This window comes from Homo sapiens, chromosome 2 (assembly GCF_000001405.40).
Source record: "Homo sapiens chromosome 2, GRCh38.p14 Primary Assembly".
In the NCBI taxonomy this organism is placed as follows: Eukaryota; Metazoa; Chordata; class Mammalia; order Primates; family Hominidae; genus Homo; species Homo sapiens.
The window spans coordinates 127314166-127332821 of NC_000002.12; the positions used below are offsets into that span (position 1 = coordinate 127314166).

At 37.2% G+C, this 18656-nt stretch overlaps 1 protein-coding gene and 1 pseudogene across 6 annotated transcripts in view; one reads left to right on the forward strand and one right to left on the reverse strand.

Moving 5' to 3' along the window:
* Window positions 1-18656, reverse strand: part of MAP3K2 (mitogen-activated protein kinase kinase kinase 2) — an 89798-nt gene that overhangs the window by 15498 nt on the left and 55644 nt on the right. For all 6 annotated transcript variants that reach the window (NM_001371911.1, NM_001371910.2, XM_047442990.1 and 3 more), the window contains 10 exons: window positions 16227-16340; window positions 15756-15843; window positions 12522-12652; window positions 11563-11642; window positions 10009-10076; window positions 9737-9829; window positions 7881-8087; window positions 4004-4152; window positions 3464-3595; window positions 589-718 (listed from right to left, as the gene is read on the reverse strand). In NM_001371911.1, the coding sequence (NP_001358840.1) occupies window positions 589-718; window positions 3464-3595; window positions 4004-4152; window positions 7881-8087; window positions 9737-9829; window positions 10009-10076; window positions 11563-11642; window positions 12522-12652; window positions 15756-15843; window positions 16227-16340 (1192 nt within the window). The remainder of the gene's footprint in view (window positions 1-588; window positions 719-3463; window positions 3596-4003; window positions 4153-7880; window positions 8088-9736; window positions 9830-10008; window positions 10077-11562; window positions 11643-12521; window positions 12653-15755; window positions 15844-16226; window positions 16341-18656) is intronic.
* On the forward strand, window positions 2708-2814 carry RNU6-1147P (RNA, U6 small nuclear 1147, pseudogene; annotated as a pseudogene).

An 18656-nucleotide genomic window follows, 5' to 3' on the forward strand; every position in this document is an offset into this window, starting at 1 on the left:
TTTGAGTTTTAAAGTCAGTTTGACATAGTTGGGGTTCATCAAAGCTCAGTTTGGGGCTCTTTTCTTCGCTTCTCTTCATTCTTTCCCTCGGTAGTGACACCCATTCCTCCGAGTTTAAATTAAAGCATATTGCATGCATTAACTCATTTACTCCTTACAAGAATCCTATGAGCTGGATACTATTATCTCCATCATTTAAGAATGAGGAACTGAGAGACTGAGTAACTTGTCCAAGGCCACACGGTGTGGATAAAAGCCCAAATTTGAATCAGGCCATCTGGCAGCAGGGATCCTACTCTTAGCCAATCTATCCTAATACCTATGCAATATGTATGAAAACATGATCTCACTTGTATGGTCTCTTAAACTTTACTGGTTCTGTGAGCCCCCACAGTAGAGCTACCCATTTGTGGAGACAGGACTGGTGTGATAGAACACTGACAGAGTCCATAAGAAAGCAAGAGAACTGTTTCCCTGTAGTATTTCAGAGACAGATGAATTAATGTTAAATGTCTTACCCACATCACTTGTTTCATTCACATTCACTAAGAACTGTGTACTTAAAATAGAAAATACCTCATTACTTACCTTTGATATCTCTATGGACAATCATATTACTGTGCAAATAATGGACACCCTCCAGAATCTGACGGGTGTATTTCCTAGTCACATTCTCAGTAAGAGCGCCATATGCTTTTAATTGGTCCTTAATTGAACCCTAGGAGAAAAGAAAACAAAAATAAAAACTACTGTATATGGTTTGAAATGAAAACTGCTATTAAATCTTTATCAGTAAAGAGGGCAGGAATTCTCATCTCACTCGTCTAAGCATGTCCTACTTGAATTTTACTTATTTTGTTCTTATTCTGTTTTTAAAGTATTTTATTGACATCTGCTGATTTTCTCAGAAAAAGGAATGGGTGTAACTAGAAAGAACACAGAGATTTTAAAGTTTTTTTCTTTATATACTCAACACTCAAGTTCGAAACATGAGAACATACACAAAAGGAGAATAGATTTTCTTAAGTGTTTTTTAGGGCAGGATAAGGTGCCATCTCTGAGAAAGCTGAATCAGTCTGAAGTGAGGAATAGGTATTTGAATTTTGAAAACTTCCCTAGTGATTCCAATGTATAAGTTTGATTAATAATCCCTTTAAAAGACAGAAATAAAATGCTTCCTGAGGGACAAATCTCTTTTTTGACAGGAAAATACATCCAAATGTTTCTGCTTTTCCTTGAATTTTGGTAAACGGTGTACTCTGTCATATGAAAGTAAATCCTTGGATTTTACAGATTTAACCATTTGTCCTTTCCACTGTTTATGAGCCATCCTTGGAGGGAGAGCATTTTGCAATTCTGTGGACCCAAATTTGCAAACACACATATGGAAAGCGGCAAGTGTGGCCAGTCAACTACTCACACCTACAGTTCAGCACGGCTTGTTTGTTCAGTCTACTGTGTCTCTACTTGTAGTATTATACAGAATAGGCCAGGCACAGTGGCTCACACCTGTAATCCCAGCACTTTGGGAGGCTGAGTGAGGAAGGCAGATCACCTGAGGTCAGGAGTTCAAGACCAGCCTGGCCAACAGGGTGAAACCCCATCTCTACTAAAAATACAAGAATTAGCCAGGCATCGGCTGGGCGTGGTGGCTCACGCTTGTAATACCATCACTTTGGGAGGCTGAGGCGGGCAGATCACCTGAGGTCAGGAGTTCGAGACCAGCCTAGCCAACCCCGTCTCTACTAAAAATATAAAAAATTAGCTGGGCATGGTGGCAGGTGCCTGTAACCTAGCTACTCAGGAGGCTGAGGCAGGAGAATTGATTTAATTCAGGAGGTGGAAGTTGCAGTGAGCCGAGATCGCACCACTGCACTCCAGTCTAGGCAACAAAACAAGACTCCTTCTCAAAAAATAAAAATTGTAGCCAGGAGCAATGGCTCATGCCTGCAATCCCACGACATTGGGAGGTCGAGGCAGGCGGGATCACCTGAGGTCAGGAGTTTGAGACCAGCCTGGCCAACATGGTGAAACCTCGTCTCTACTAAAAATACAAGAATTAGCTGGGTGTGGTGGCATGCACCTGTAATCCCAGCTACACGGGAGGCTGAGGCAGGAGAATTGCTTGAACCCAGGAGACGGAGGTTGCAGTGAGCTGAGATCGTGCCATTGCTCAGCCTGGGCAACAAGAGCGAAACTCCATCTCAAAATTAAACAAATAAAAATTATGGAAATGCATGTATTTTTAAATAAGTAAACATATTAATCACCACCTTGAAAATCATTAATACTAGATGTACTCTATATAATGACAGATGTCACAAATCACATTTTATAACTCCTAATGAAATTATAGACTCTAGTGATGACTATCAATCAGTGCTAAAAACATTAGGTGGATGGCTGAAAAGGAACAGGCTATTCCTATGTGCCACTGCTATACCTCATATTACTTTCTGGTGTGCAGGAAAAAACAAAACTTTACAATGCAGGACTCAATATGTCAATCATCCTCATCTAATGGTAGCTCTTTGCATTGCTACAGTGGAATAACCAGAAATTGGCTCCTGATAGGATGCAACATAAAGTACACAGCTTCATCTATGACGTATCAGATAAAAAAGGCTGAATGTGAATCTAATTTAGACCTCAGATCTAACTTGGAGTTTATAGTAAAAAAGGGATAAAGAAACAAATTAAAATCCGCATGCTCATTTCGGCAGCACATATACTAAAATTAGAACGATACAGAGAAGATTAGCACGGCCCCTGTGCAAGGATGACACGCAAATTTGTAAAGCATTCCATATAACTAAAATTATAAAAAATTTAAAACAAAAAAACAAAATCCACAAGAATGCTACTAGAGAAATCCATGAGAATTTTTTTTTTTTTTTTTCAAATTCTTCCAGATCCTGAGAGTGAAGACTCTTAACAGGCTATCCTCTTCTCTTTGTCAAATCTATATCATGTACAAATTGACTGCTCTAGATAGTAATCCTAGCACTTTGGGAGGCTAAGGCAGAAGAATCACTTGGGCTCAGGAGTTTGAAACCAGCCTAGGTAACAGAGTGAGACCTTGTCTCTACTTCTTTTTAAGAATTATAAAAAATTGTTTAAGAAGAGAGAGATAATTAAGGGGCATAACAATTAAATGTATGTATAGACTGGAACTTGGTGTGAATATATCAGCTATAAAGGGCATTTTAGGGCATTTAAGGAAATCTGAAGATGGGCTGCTAAGATGTCTGTAACCTACTTGAGAATACTTTTATCATTAATGAGTTAAAAAATACAAAGACAGAGGAAGAGGATAGAAAATACTACTCAGCTCTAATTTAAAACTCTTCCAAAATGTCCTTAACTAGGGTTAACATTTTATAATCTACGTTTTTGTTGTTTTTCTTTTATTAACTAAAATTTTAAATAGAATGTGTATTTTCAAAAAGATGTACTAACTTACCCCTGGCATATATTCCATAAATATGGAAAGTGTTTTTTCCTGGGGATCCCTCAAACAGCCATAATACTGAACAATTCGCTCATGTAGCAAGTTTTTCAGCAACTGAATTTCACACTCAAGTGCATTTACTTCCTGAAAGAGAGAATTCATTGTTAAGTCTTCAACAATGTCAGTAAAAGCAAAAAATTCTAACTTCATGGACCATCAAGGTGATTTCATTCTGAAAATTTTAGTTCCCAAGTAATAAACATCTGAAAGTCTCTAACCAATAACTTTTTAAACAGTCCTTGATGATATGCTAAAGCAACACTGACTCAGATTAGGATTATAACTGAAGTACTAAAAAAGAAAAATCCATATTAAAAAATAGACAAACATATCTAATCTGTTTTACAAATAATTTATACTAAAGAAAACTGCTTTTTTTTTTTTTTGAAAAAAAATGCTTCTTATTTAGAATGGAAGGGGCTTAATGTTAAAAAATAATAATGAATAAAGTTTCTTATAATGTGACAAAGTAATTTGTGCAGTGATTTTTACCTTGCTGGTCTCAGGACTATCGGGGTCAAATTGAACTTGCTTAACAGCCAATTCTCTTCCTGTATCAACATCATAACAGAGGTAGACCCTTCCAAAGGCTCCTTGGCCAAGCAGTTTGCCCAATCTCCAGTTGGTCGGAGCTCGAGGTGCTGAAAAAGAACACTTTCTTAAAGTGAAATATCAAACAGCACACAAATAAATGGTTAATAACTAAATGAGCATACTGCATTAGTGACATCCTTCATTGAATGTACTTGGATATAAGGAAAAATTATGATTATCCAAATTCACAGTTACCGTCTTTCAAATTTTTCTCTTTCGTCAATTTTCTACAAATCCTAAATCAAAAAGAGATTCATATCCCAAGACTCATTTTTTTCTGAAATTGTTTTCCTAATTACACATGTGACAGCATCTTTCTTTCACTCAATCTAACATTCCAAAGACTGTAAGATGCACCATTTCTATTCTTCACTGCAGTAATATTTGTACTTAGTTTTTCAGCCTCCACCTACAATGTAGAAAGCTGGAAAGAGTATCATTCCCATCCAAACAACAAGAGAAATCTGGGTAATCTACAAAATTTAACTTTTGTTGAACACATATCAAAAAACTAAGATTGCAGGGCAACCAACTAACCTGAAATCTAAGGAAAAAGTGGTACCTCCAAGGAGAGACAGAACAGAAGCACTGGCTCACTTGTGGCAAAGCACAGACAAAGACCCACACAAGCAAGGAAGAATTCACCTCCATTTTAAACAAATGTGGGCTGGCATGAGAGTATTGAACCCTTGGGAGATCTAGACACAGGTGAGCTCACACCTGCTCTAAGTCTTTTCTGTGGACCTCTACCATGCACTCATAGGAGCAGGAGACACCAGGGAAAGCCTCCCTTGGTGGTCAAGGCCTGGAAAAGGGGAATGGCCCACTGTTGTGGGAAACGCAGAAAGTCCTTCCAAACCCTTTTCCCCTAAGAAACGAGAGCCTTCAGCCGCTGGAGAAAGCAGCAAACCCTGTCACCCCTGCATTACAGTTAAAGACCCACTGAGGCTAGGGGAATGCAAAAGAAAAAAAAAAAAAAAAAAACCCTACCCCTGAGAGAGAGGCTGAGGCTGGAAACCTTCTGTGACCCTGATCATTAGAGCACTCCTACTCCCGGAAGGTGGGCAAGCCCATCTCTGAGAACTGAGGAGATAAAGCCTGCCTAAGACTGAAGCTGGATAGGACAACACAGAACCCTCTAGTCTGCCTCCCCTCTCCTAGGCTGGCAAGTAACAGCAATCCACTTACTGAGAGCATGACAAGGCCATGGAGAGATCCTCCCTCTCTGAGAAGTAGGCACAAAAGAAAGGCCAAGGCTGGGCGCAGTGGCTCACCTGTAATCCCAGCACTTTGGGAGGCCGAGGCGGACAGATCACCTGAGGTCAGGAGTTCAAGACCAGCCTGGCCAATGTGGTGAAACCCCATCTCTACTAAAAATACAAAAAAAAAAAAAAAAAAAAAAAAAAAAGAAAAAGAAAAATAGCCAGGTGTGGTGGCAGATGCCCGCAATCCCAGCTACTCGGGAGGCTGATGCGGGAGAATCGCTTGAACCCGGGAAGGGGAGGTTGCGGTGAGCTGAGATCGCGCCACTGCACTCCAACCTGGGCAACAAGAGTGAAACTCCATCTCAAATTAAAAAAAAAAAAAAAAGCTGATGGAGCAGGACCATTGAGAAAATCCCTTTAGGAAACCAGCACAAGGTAATTAGAAGAATTTAAAGTCAGTGGTGCACAGAGACCATGACAACAACAAAATCCAAACCCAGCTCAACTCCTAACTAGACTGATTGACTTAGCTCCTCACAGTAACGGCCTAGCAGAAGAAGAGCTGTGCCTATTTCCAGGCATACATTCTATTTACCTCCTCCCTTATCCTATACATGATATCTGGCATTCAATGTAAAATGATAAGACACAAAAAAGCAACCCTTCCAAAAAAAATCAAAAGAGAAAGCAATTAATACAACCAGACTCAGGAGGTTCAGAAGGGAAATTTAAAATAACTATGACTAACATGTTAAAGGTTCTAATGGAAAAGGTAGACAACATGCATGAACAGATGGTGAACAGAGCGATGGAAACTACAGGAATGAGTCACATGAAAATGCATGAAATGAAAAACAATGACAGAAGTTAAGAATTCCTTCAACAGGATCATAAATAGATGCAACAAGGCTGAGGAAAGAATCAGTGAACCTGAAAATAGATCAATGGTGGGGGAGAGAGGGAGACAGGGAGAAAGGGAGAGGGAGGGAGAGAGAGAGACAACAGAGGTATGAGACAGTATCAAATAGTCTAGTGTATAGGTAATAGGAATCCCAAAAGAAAAAGGAAGAATGAGACAGAAAAAATACTTGGAGAGGTAACAACTGAGAACTTTTCACAGACAAACTATAAATATAATAAACTGAAAGAACACCAGCTGGGAACCCTACACAAATATACCTAGACACGTCATATTCACACTGTAGAAAATCAAAGACAAAATCTTGAAAGCAGCTGGGGCAGCTGTGGGGGAAGAAAGCATATTACATATGGAGGAACAAAGATAAGAATTATAGCAGATTTCTCTTCAGGAAGTATATAAGCCAGAAGACAATGGGACAATAGCTTTAAAGTGCTAGAAAGGCCAGGTGCAGTGGCTCACACCTGTAATCCCAGCACTTTGGGAGGTTGAGGCAGGTGAATCAGCTTAAGCCCAAGAGTTCAAGACCAGCCTGGGCAACACAGCAAAACCCACTCTCTACAAAAAATACAAAAATTATCTGGGCATGGTGGTGCATGCCTGTAGTGCCAGATACTTGGGAGTTTGAAGTGGGAGGATTGCTTGAGCCCAGAAGGCAGAGGTTGCAATGAGTTGAGATTGCACCACAGCCTGAGTGACAGAGTGAGATCCTGTTTCAAAAATGAAGGAGAAATAGACTTTTTTCAAACAAACAAAAGCAGAATGAACTCAGTACCAGCATGCCTATATTACAAGAAAGGTTAAAATGCAGTTTTTCAGGCAGAAGGAATTTGATACCCAATAGATCTTGGATCTGTCTTTGTTTATACAGATTTTGGATATATACAAAGATCTATAAAAATGAATAGACTGAAGATATATATAAAAGACATTTTTCTCTTATTTTTAATCACTTCAAAAGATAGCTGTCTAAAGCAAAAATAACAGCAATATAGCATGGGGTCAATATGGATATAAAAGTAAACTATGACACACTAGCACACAAAAAGGAATTCAGAGTATGCAAATAGTGCTGCAATAAACATCTTTGAACATGAATCTTTGTATGCACTGCTTACACAGTAAGGTCTGAATGCTTTGCAATCCAGCCTGAGTTACCACTGTAGGCCTATTCCCACTATTTCAAGTAAGATACTCCCACATCAGCCAAAAATTGAACTATTCCCCATTTTTAGATGATGTTATGGCCTCTTGCACATTATCTCCTCAGCTGGTGATTTCTACTCACATTTAAATGCTATACAATAATTATTTCTCCATGTATCATCTATCCCATTAGATTATGTCTTGGAGATTATGTTTGAAATCTCAGTGGTAGGCATTCAACAAGGATATGTGGAATGCATGGATAAAGAATGACTAGTTGGTAATAATTTTCCTAATACAAGTGAAGAACAGAATTATCTAAAGTAATTAGCAGTGATACCATGCTTATACCTGACATTCCAACCACCTTTAGAAACACCATTATTACCTTTTTTGAGTAGTTCATCTGACCCCAAAAACTCACTTAGTATTTATTCCTTTTAATAATATAAAATTCTGCAAAGATTCTGCTCTACATTTCACTATACCAAGTTCTATTACTTACAACGGCTGGGTGGGCTGATGTCCATTACGGTCAAAGTAGGATTGTCTATGTCACTTCCCCTTCTTCTTATTCGACTATCATCATACTCTGGGGTAAAGATACTGCTTCCACTACTAGTGCTTAAGGAATGATCAGTAGGACTGAAACTCACAGGAGACCGTAAGCTGGTCCCCTGGGTCCTTCTAGCTCTTGGAAAAGTTTTACGACCTAAAAAATGAAAAGAGAATGACCTTATACCTTTTATTAATATGTTATACTTTTAAAGTATTTAAAATTTGTAATGTAGAGAATAGAAATTTGTCCTGTGACTAGGCTAAGAAACTCAAATAGGAATGATTGGGTGGGAAAAAATAAACAGGATCTGAATACAAATTCAAATAATCTCTTATGATAAAACATGTATGAGTGTGCACACAGAAACATACACACACACATCTTAAAAAGGAACCTCCTCACTTCTGGATAAAAAGGAGGAAAAAAATTTACTCTCATTTCCAATAATGATTTTAAAATCTAAAACAAAGATGCAGAAGTTCACAGGTAGTAATTTTTTTCTTTTCTTTTTGAGATGGAGTTTCACTCTTGTTGCCCAGGCTGGAGTGCAGTGGTACAATCTCGGCTCACTGCAACCTCCGCCTCCAGGGTTCAAGCGATTCTCCTGTCTCAGCCTCCCAAGTAGCTGGGATTACAGGCGCCCACCACCATGCCCAGCTAATTTTTTGTATTTTTAGTAGAGACGGGGTTTCATCACGTTGGCCAGGCTGGTCTCATACTCCTGACCTCAGGTGATCCACCCGCCTCGGCCTCCCAAAGTGCTGGGATTACAGGCATGAGCCACCGCACCTGGCCAGTAATTTTTTTTCTTAAAGGGATGATGTAAGTATCAATCTCATCATCAAAGAGTAATTTTCTAATATCATTTAAAAGTTACTCCTTTTGGATGGGTGCAGTGGCTCATGCCTGTAATCCCAGCACTTTGGGAGGCCAAGGCAGGCAGATCACTTGAGCCCAGGAGTTCGAGACCAGCCTGGGCAACATGGCAAAACCCCATCTCTACTAAAAATACAAAAATTAGGCCGGGCACGGTGGCTCACGCCTGTAATCCTAGCACTTTGGGAGGCCAAGGCAAGTGGATCACTGGAGATCAGGAGTTTTGAGACCAGCCTGGCCAACATGGCAAAACCCCATCTCTACTAAAAATACAAAAATTAGCCAGGTGAGAATCGCTTGAACCCAGGAGGTGGAGGGTGCAGTGAGCAGAGATCATGCCACTGCACTCCAGCCTGGGTGACAGAACAGAGTGAGACTCTGTCTCAGGGGAAAAAAAAAAAAGAAAGAAAGAAAATTACTCCTTCTTGGCCAAGTGCAGTGGCTCACACCTGTAATCCCAGCACTTTGGGAGGCTGAGGCAGGAGGACCGCTTGAGCCCAAGACTTCAAGACCAGCCTGGGCAACATGGTGGGACACTGTCTCTACAAAAAAAATTTTTTAATTAGCTGGGTGTGATGGCAAATGCCTGTAATGGCACACACCTGAACTCAGGAAGCCAAGGCAGGAAGATCACTTGAGCCCAGGAATTTAAAGTTACAGTGAGCTAAGATCATGCCACAGCACTCCCGCCTGGGCAACAAAACCTTGTCTCTTAAAACAAAAAATTATTCATTTTCTTTTAAGGGATAACCAAGTCTTATAAGTTGTCATAAAGCCAAAATGCCCATTATACTTTTGTTATAACACAATTCCTCATATTTTTCTAATGGTATTAACACAAATATGAGGTTTTAAAAAATTTTTGTATTTATTTTTGTTGTTGAGATTTTTTAACTATTCTTGTGGTCTAATTGCTAGAAACTTACCATCATTATACTCTTGATGATGATATGAAACATGATACCTTCTTGGATATGTTCCTCCTTTTCCAAATTTCTCAAAGATAGGGTTATCATAGTCTGTTAAGACATATAAGATGGTTATCTTTTATTTAAAAAAAAAAGTTAAATATTTCTAATGATGAAAAGCACATTTATAAATCTTTATTTGACTTTTCAAAAATCCCCCCTCTCCCTCCCAGCCAAAACATTATCCAATGACATAAACATTTAAACATTTAGAATTTATAAAGTCTAACCTGAAAATTCCTGATGATTATCTGGGTAGCTCTGAGCCCTAGGCATTCGTGATTTTGGATAGCTCTCTCTATAAAGAAAAAACATCACATTAAGTTTACAGAAAGAACGTAAGACATTAAAAAGAAAATCTTTGAGCAATATCTATATCTATCTGTGCCTCTCTGTATGTGTTTGTGTAAAGGAGCTCACTTTGAAAGGTTAGCATACCTAAAAAAGAAAAACTACACTTACTTGGTACATGTAGGCAAAGAGCATGACTTAAAATTAACCTTACAGTACAGTGGAAGAATGACGTATTTTGGAATCATTAGGTGTTTCTAAGCACTGTGTTTCAATCCAAGCTCTGCCACTTAACTATGTAACCTTGGCAAATCACCCTTCTGCATCAACAAAAAAGATAATTTCCAACTATTCAAGTGTACATAAGTAAGGTATCCAGGATAGTGTTTTGCAAATGGTAAGTACTCAAATATATAGCTTTCTCGTTACTACTTCCCTGAATTTCTTAAATGTCTACCTTAAGATAGACATTGACACAGACAGAAATTTCATATACATGGATAAAAGAAACTTAAATGTGCATTCCCACGCAATATTAGTTATTTTTTTCAGAATTTGCTTTCATAAAGCAATTCCAGAGAGGATTACCAAGAATACTGTCCTATTGAGACCAGGAGGGGGAGCACGTGTAACAAAAAATTCACATTTTGCAACTTTATCCTGCTCATATTCCTGAACAGCTTTTTCACAAAAGTACTTAAATTTTTGCCTACATGTACCAATGTGACACAGTGGGCTACAATTTCCAAGAATTTAAATTATTTCTAATCTGGTGCCAGAATGAACATAATCCTGAACAGGTGAAATAACTCAGGAAATTTCCAAAACCAAACATATTAATGTAAAAGTTGATAGCACTTTTCATAAACACAGTTTTAAAAGTAAATGTACATAAATTCTAAATTTGATTTGCCTTCAAACACACAATTTTGACAAGCAGGAATACTCAAACTATTATAATCAGATTTCCTTTTAACTAACAAAGATACTGAGTCCCATGAGGTAAAGGGATTTATCCACACTGTGCAAAAATTCATCTGCCGTCATCATACACAAGTACCAATTCTATTCCTCTGAATGTAGCACAAAAAAGTTACTGATAATTCAACATTCTATCTGTATGAATATTTACTCATATCTATTAAAAAAGAAAACTACAGTAAGCTGAGCATGGTGGCTCATGTGTGTAATCCCAGCGCTTTAGGAGACCAAGGCAGGAGGTTCGCTTGAGCCCAGGAGTTCAAGATCAGCCTGGGTAACAAAGTGAGACCCCCATCTCTACAAATAATACAAACAAAATAGCCAGATGTGGTATTAATAGCAAATGCCTTTGGTCCTAGTTCCTCGGGGGTCAGAGGTGGGAGGACTGATGGAGCCAAGGAGGTCAAGGCTGCAGTAAGCCGCATTCACGCCACTGCGCTCCAGCCTGGGTGACAGCAAAACTCTGTCTCAAATAAACAAATAAACCCTCCAAAAACTACGATAAACATTACCCATCCAAAGGACTATCAAGTGATGGACAACTTCCTGAGCCAGAATTTTCAGGGCTGCTTAAAGATAATGGATCCAGCATCTAGGAAAAAAAGGAGTTCCACCATGATTCAATTTGATATAACCAAAAGTTGCTTATTAAAAAAACCTGCCTTAATTAGACATACTTCATGTAACATAAAATTCACCCATTTAAAGTATACAAGTCAAGGCTTTTAGAATACTGAGAGTTGTGCAACCCTCACTCACAATTTTAGAACAATTCCATACTCAATAGTGGTCACTCTCCAGAGTTACTCATTTTCAAATGTCCCTTGTAAGCAAGCCACGACTTCAAAATTTCCTAAGAGAAAAATATTCTTTCTCTATAGACTATTGACTAAATAATTAAAAGCTACAATATTTCACACTATTTTGCTTACTGAAAACTGAACAATGGCCCCACCCAAACTGAGACTAATGACACTATGACTATTACATTATTAGAAAATGTAAACTACTATAATAGTGTGAACATATAATGCGATGCAATGCAATGTTAAGGGAATAACAGCAACTCCATGAAAACATTTTAATACTATAAAATTGAAGTATTTTTTAAATGTTTCAGAAAGTTCACAAACCTCAGTTTCACAAAGGTAAATATTTGTAGTTTCATTCTATCTTTCAAATGTTTAAAAAAAAAATCTGGCTGTTAAATTACAAAGCAAATGCATTATCATTCACTCACTCTCATTCATTCACTTATTGAGCAATATAAAACCAGCTGTATTCCAGCTTTCTTTATACAGGCACATGTAAATTAATGGGCATTTTCCTATATTTTTTCTATTTTGTTCAGTTAAGAAGATATGTAATTAGAGAAGAGATAATACACACACACACCCAGTTACGTGCCAAATCACACTGACCCTGACAACATCTCTTTAAATTAAATTTAAAAAATCAAACTTTTGCTTACTTGGTCCATGCTCTCTGGAATGAACTCTCCTTCACTGTTGATACTAGTGAATGACCCATTCCGGGCAACCTGGTGTAATTCATCTGGAATGTAACCTGGGGGAGGAGAACTTCTATCTCTACTAGTAGGACCTCAAGGAAGAAAAATAATGTAATTTATAATTATAGGCAAGGGAATCAAGTTTTGTTTTAAATAGGCTATATTTCTGAATTATATCATTAATAATTTCAGCAAAAGAAAATTCAATTTTTATTAAAACTTATCAGAACATTCATTTGTAAATCTTCAAATGGCTTTATAACCTTTGTAAATTCCCACCCTATCATAATTATTAACCTCACCATAATATTCATTTATACTCACTAGGTAGGATGGTATTCTGACTGCTGATAGGATGATAATACAATATAGATTTCTGGCATTAAGACAGTTTATTTAAGTAATCACATTTCTTATGAGACAATAACCCACTCTATTTTACTTGGTTCTGTGGAAATGATGCTATATTTATTAGTACAGTGTCTCACCTTTCCTCATAGTTTTTTGAAATTAAACTATGTGAGCATTTAAGTTCTGGTCCAATTTAAAGCAAAAAACATTTTAGCCTTATGTAAAGGAGTCATTGTGAGTATATGCAAGCATTTGTTAGTGAGACAGGGAGGAAAAAGAAAGCAAAATTATTACCAAGACATGTGCATAAAAGAGAGTACTGTCTACACTTGTCTGTAAAATGATTAGGAGCTCAATTTGAGTCAGGATTGATTTAGGCTTCATAACAACTGTAGCCACAATAATACTGGTCCCTAATATTTTTATTCCTTCCATATACCCGTGCTTACAAAAGATCAATATAGTCAATTACTAAAAGGAGATAGGACCAAAAAAAAAAAAAAGCTATGAAAATTTTGTCTCCTTATTTGACAACCCTTTTTCACAGTAATGCGTATGCCAACGCACTCTTGGTTGAGACCTGTTTATCAGCATACACTCCTAACCTAAAGGAGTTTTTCCTCCATCTCCCTTTTATAAAAACAATTAAAAAGAATAACTGCCAACATATAAGAAAAATAGATAATGGTCATATCTAGCAAAGCCATTCCAAGTTTAAAGCAGTGCCAATAAAAGACCACTAATTCTATACTTTATGATTTCCAATTTCTTCTTATGCTGGCACTGACGTCAAACAAGAATATTTATTAGAATAAGACTGAGGTATTCAGTGTAATTTTAATTCAAAATATATTTAAAATGTCAATTTAACTAGTACATTTAGCTTGTTTTGTCTAATGCAACTAAAGTGAATTAGAGCTGGGCACTGTGGCTCACGCCTGTAATCCCAGCACTCTGGGAGGCCAAGGTGGGTGGATCACATGAGGTCAGGAGTTCGAGACCAATCTGGCTAACAGGCTGAAACCCCATCTCTACTAAAAATATAAAAATTAGCCAGGCATGGTGGCGGGCGCCTGTAATCTCAGTTATTCAGGAGGCTGAGGCAGGAGAATCACTTGAACCCAGGAGGCAGCGGTTACAGTTAGCTGAGACCGCGCCACTGTACTCCAGCCTGGGTGACGGAGTGAGACTCTGTCTCAAAAAATAAATAAAATAAAGTGAATTAGCAATTTTTTAAAAAATGACAAGTACCGTAATGTGATAAGAAATGGGGATAAAGAAAGAAATGTACAATGAACATCTGAGCTTTGTACAATGTACAAAATGTATAAATGTACAATAAGCTTTCTAGTTTGAAAAGTAAAATGTACAAGTGTTCTCTCAATTTAATGCTACAACAATCCCATGATTTAAAGATGAAGACACATTTACTGGTCTCAGGTTCATCAGAGAGCTGGAATTTGAATTTGGGTGTTTCAAATGTTCTTTCACCAAATTTTAAAACTATATCGAAATATATCTGAATGCAAAAGACAAGCCATTTGTATTTTGCTTGTGTATCACCTCTGCTGCTCGCATTTCTGCATTCCTGAAACCCAAAGTAGGACTTATTTAAGACAGACACTTCGAAGAGAATGGTCATAAAATAGCTTCTTCTGGGGACCAAAAGAGAACATGAATAATGTCTATTTTTTTGATGGTCCACATGCCAATTCAATTTTTTCTTTGATTATCAACAATCCTCTTCTGTTACCAATCTTTTTTAGATTCCCAACCACATTTGTTTTTCCTCCTCTTTAACTTTTCTCTTTTAAATCCGCCCCTCATACATGTTTTCATGCCATCTTTAATGGCCATACTCACTGCCCTCTCTCAAAGAACATTTATACCAGCGGTTTTTTGAAACAATGTTAATGCTTTTATCAAATAAAAATGTAGATTATCAATGTTTTATACAAATTGAAGAACAGACAGAATGGGGAGTTGAGAGTACCTGTGTCAAACTCATGTTGCACGAATAAAGCCTCCTTAAACTACAGCATGCAAGATCTTTATTTCTTTATATCATAATCTTAATTATAACAATAAATTAATGGCAAATGAAAATGAATACTAATAAAGTAATAATAAAGCATAATATAAAAATTCTTAGTATCTTTATTTTGAGAGCATTCTTGGCAATCACTAAAACCCTAGAGAAAGGCTTGTGAATTTACACTCTATTAATTTTAATACATTATAATTACTTCTTTTAATTTTTTTCCTCCATTCTATTTGTACAATTAAAACCTTTTTTTTTGAGATGGAGTCTTGCTTTGTCGCCAGGCTGGAGTGCAGTGGCACAATCTCGGCTCACTGCAACCTCCGCCTCCCGGGTTCAAGCAATCCTCTTGCCTCAGCCTCCTGAGTAGCTGGGACTACAGGCATGCACCACCACGCCCAGCTAATTTTTGTAATTTTAGTAGAGATGGGGTTTCACCATGTTGGCTAGGATGGTCTCGATCTCTTGACCTTGTGATCTGCCCGCCTTGGCCTCCCAAAGTGCTGGGATTACAGGCATGAGCTACCGCGCCCAGCCTAAAACCTCTTTAAAGTTTTATTTGAATTTGTTAACATTAAAATACCCTGAGTATATAAATAAAGAATTTAAATTGGAGATTACTAATCCTGTAAACTTGAATTTCCAAGGGACGTCAAATATTAGAGTGTATTTAAATTAAATTATAGGAAGTAGAGAAATAAAATATTATTTATCAGGAATATGTTTAGGTGCCACACTACATTAAAGGATGGAGAAGAAATTGAGAAATCATTCATTTCATAATTCAGACACTAGTTTCTTACCTATTATAGATAGCCGTTTTTTCCTCTCTGCTCCAAATACTGTATTATCCAAATCTTCTAGTGATGGCAATGGTTCTAAATTAGTAGCCTACAAAGGAGAAAAGACAGTTAATGCTATTCTTCCTCCTTGGGGCTTTAAACAGAATCCTCTCCCCTACCAAGTACAAAACATTTTATATTGTTTGTGAGCCTTAATCAAATCCTCTACTCTTTGAAATTTTAATTCTAACATAATTCTAAGTTGTCAGTTTCTATTAGCTTCGTATGTACAACATATTATACTTATTTATAACTATGACTGTGGTTTTTGAGGAGTAAGGATATTAAAGTATAGTAATTAAAGGATGTAAGTTTACATTTAATCATAATGAAAATATTGCAATGATTATAGAATATAATTATGTTTCATATGTTAACTTTTACAAGCCTAAGTCCTATAATTCTTACTGAAAAAAATATCCCAAATCATACCTGTGTACTTCCATTTATTACAAGTAATATCTTGAGGCTCTTCATATGAATACTACGATCCAGCAGTTCCACAGCTTTGTCCAAGTCATCTTGAGTAGTTAATGGAATTACCAACTAAAAACAAACATAAGGAACCATGCAGCTATCTCACCAGGTCAAGTTCTTCCATGAGCATCTCCACTACTAAGGAATTACAAATGTCAAAATACCTTGCTCTTTGATTTGTTACTATGATGAAAGTCTGAATGTGTATGTGTATATTGTTTTGCCCTCCTCATTCTACCGCCACTAAAATCTTAGAATGAACATGTATGTTTTTAAATTTTTCTTTATTAATCATTACATTCTTCTAGAAAATAACATTTAAAGATTAATTTTCTAGGATATTTCCATAATATTGCTAAATTTAAGTTATAGTATGTTCGCCCCTAAAAAGAATGAAGAAGTACAGACAAAGACCATATGAAATAAAGGTACTACTTTTCTTCTGTATAGATGAAACTCAGTTCTTTTTTCAATAGTAACCACAAATTTGCACTCTCAGCTGGTGTGCTCTTCAACATACCAACATCCTGAGCACCTGCCATGGAGGACAGCTGCCATGGAGGGGTACCACTAGTAACATATCTGCAATCTACAGCCCACCTAGAGTTCTTCTCTCTGAGCCTAGTGACCTGACCACTATACCCTAAAACAAATAAGCTAATGAGTTAACTATTCCATAGTAAACCCTGCATGTGGAATCTGCTTTCACTAGTCTTCTCATGCAGCAGATGTTATAGAGGACAAAAGCACCTAAGAGGTCTATGAGAAAAAGTGTAATTCATACAATTTAAGAAATAAAAATATGTCCTTTTTTTAAAAAAAAAGTCAATTTAGTAACTTAAGAAGACTCTGTCAATAACTTCAAAGTATATTCCATTTCATTGAAGGAGGAACAGAATAAAAACAAGTGAACATATTCTGCACTAGTTAACCTGCTCTACTCAGCACAATATATGAGCCATTAAAATGCAAGGCTGAATTAATTTGGGGTCTCTACAGTATAAATTCTTTGAAGACAAGGACCCCCTACACCAGCAATGAGCAAAGAGCAGACAACCTGGTAAATGCTGTCTAATAAATCTCACAGTGTTAAAAGCTCAATCTGAACCCAAACCCACTAGCTGGCATGGTGTATGTTCATTCTGCAGACTTCTTTGTGAAAAAAGTCCTTGGGGTTTTTGATTTTTTGTTTTGAAATGGAGTCTCACTGTCATTCAGGCTGGAGTACAGTGGCAATCTCAGCTCACTGCAATCTGCCTCCTGGTTTCAAGTGATTCTCCTGCCTCAGCCTCCCCAGTAGCTGGGTTTACAGGCATGCACCACCACGCGTGGCTAATTTTTGTATTTTTAGCAGAGACAGGGTTTCAACATGTTGACCAGGCTGGTCTCAAACTCCTGACCTCAAATTATCTGCCCGCCTGGGCCTTCCAAAGTGCTGGGATTACAGGCGTGAGCCACCATGCCCAGCCAAAAAAGTCCTTGTTATAAGAAAGGCTGCCAAACACGAATATAAAGAAGGATTTATGTGAATTCCATCAGACAATCTGCTTGCATTTACTTACTCTGTTGTTAAAATATATTCCCAATTTCTGTTTGTAGCTAATTTTGTATTACTGTAAGGGACCGACTAACTGGGCTCTTTTCGCTCTATGAGAATTTTTTTCTAATAAAATACAATTATTAACTGTTTGGTATCATAGAACAAGCCTGATCTACTGATCTACTTAAACACATTTCTATTTCCCACCAATTATGAAACATATTGGTATATCTTGCTTCTATCTTCAATAGTCTATTACTTTTCAAGCACTGGAAAACATTTTAAAGCAATGGTAATGACTGTTCCGCCGATTTTTCATTTGAGGGGAAAATCTGAATACTTACTTTTATTATTCATTTATAACTGGATTGTTTACTTCTCCAAGATACTGCTACTTTTGGGGGAAAACAACACTAAGTCAAATGACAGAAAAAAATATGAACATAAATGATTCTGCTGCTCTTCAGTTTGCTGCTGTAAAATGTGAACATCCTGGAGGGGTGCCTGGTGCAGCAGCTTAGGCACTTGCCTACAGACCTAATGTGATCCTGCCTGTGTTCTAAGGTTACCTATTACAAACCGTAAAATGAGGACTAAGAGTCATGAACAAGTCCCAGGTTATCTACATTACACTAAATAAATCAGATAATGTTTTCTGGCTTGGTGAATTCATTTCAGTCTCATTCATGAAATCTATCACCCTCTGGCTTATTTTTGATAAATCAGTTGTTTGTTGATATAAATGCTTTCTAGAAAGGAAACTTAAAATTGAGTTCGAGAACCATTAAACAGAACTGAAATCTGAAAGAACTGAATTATCTTCCTGAATTTACATAGTGAAGTAT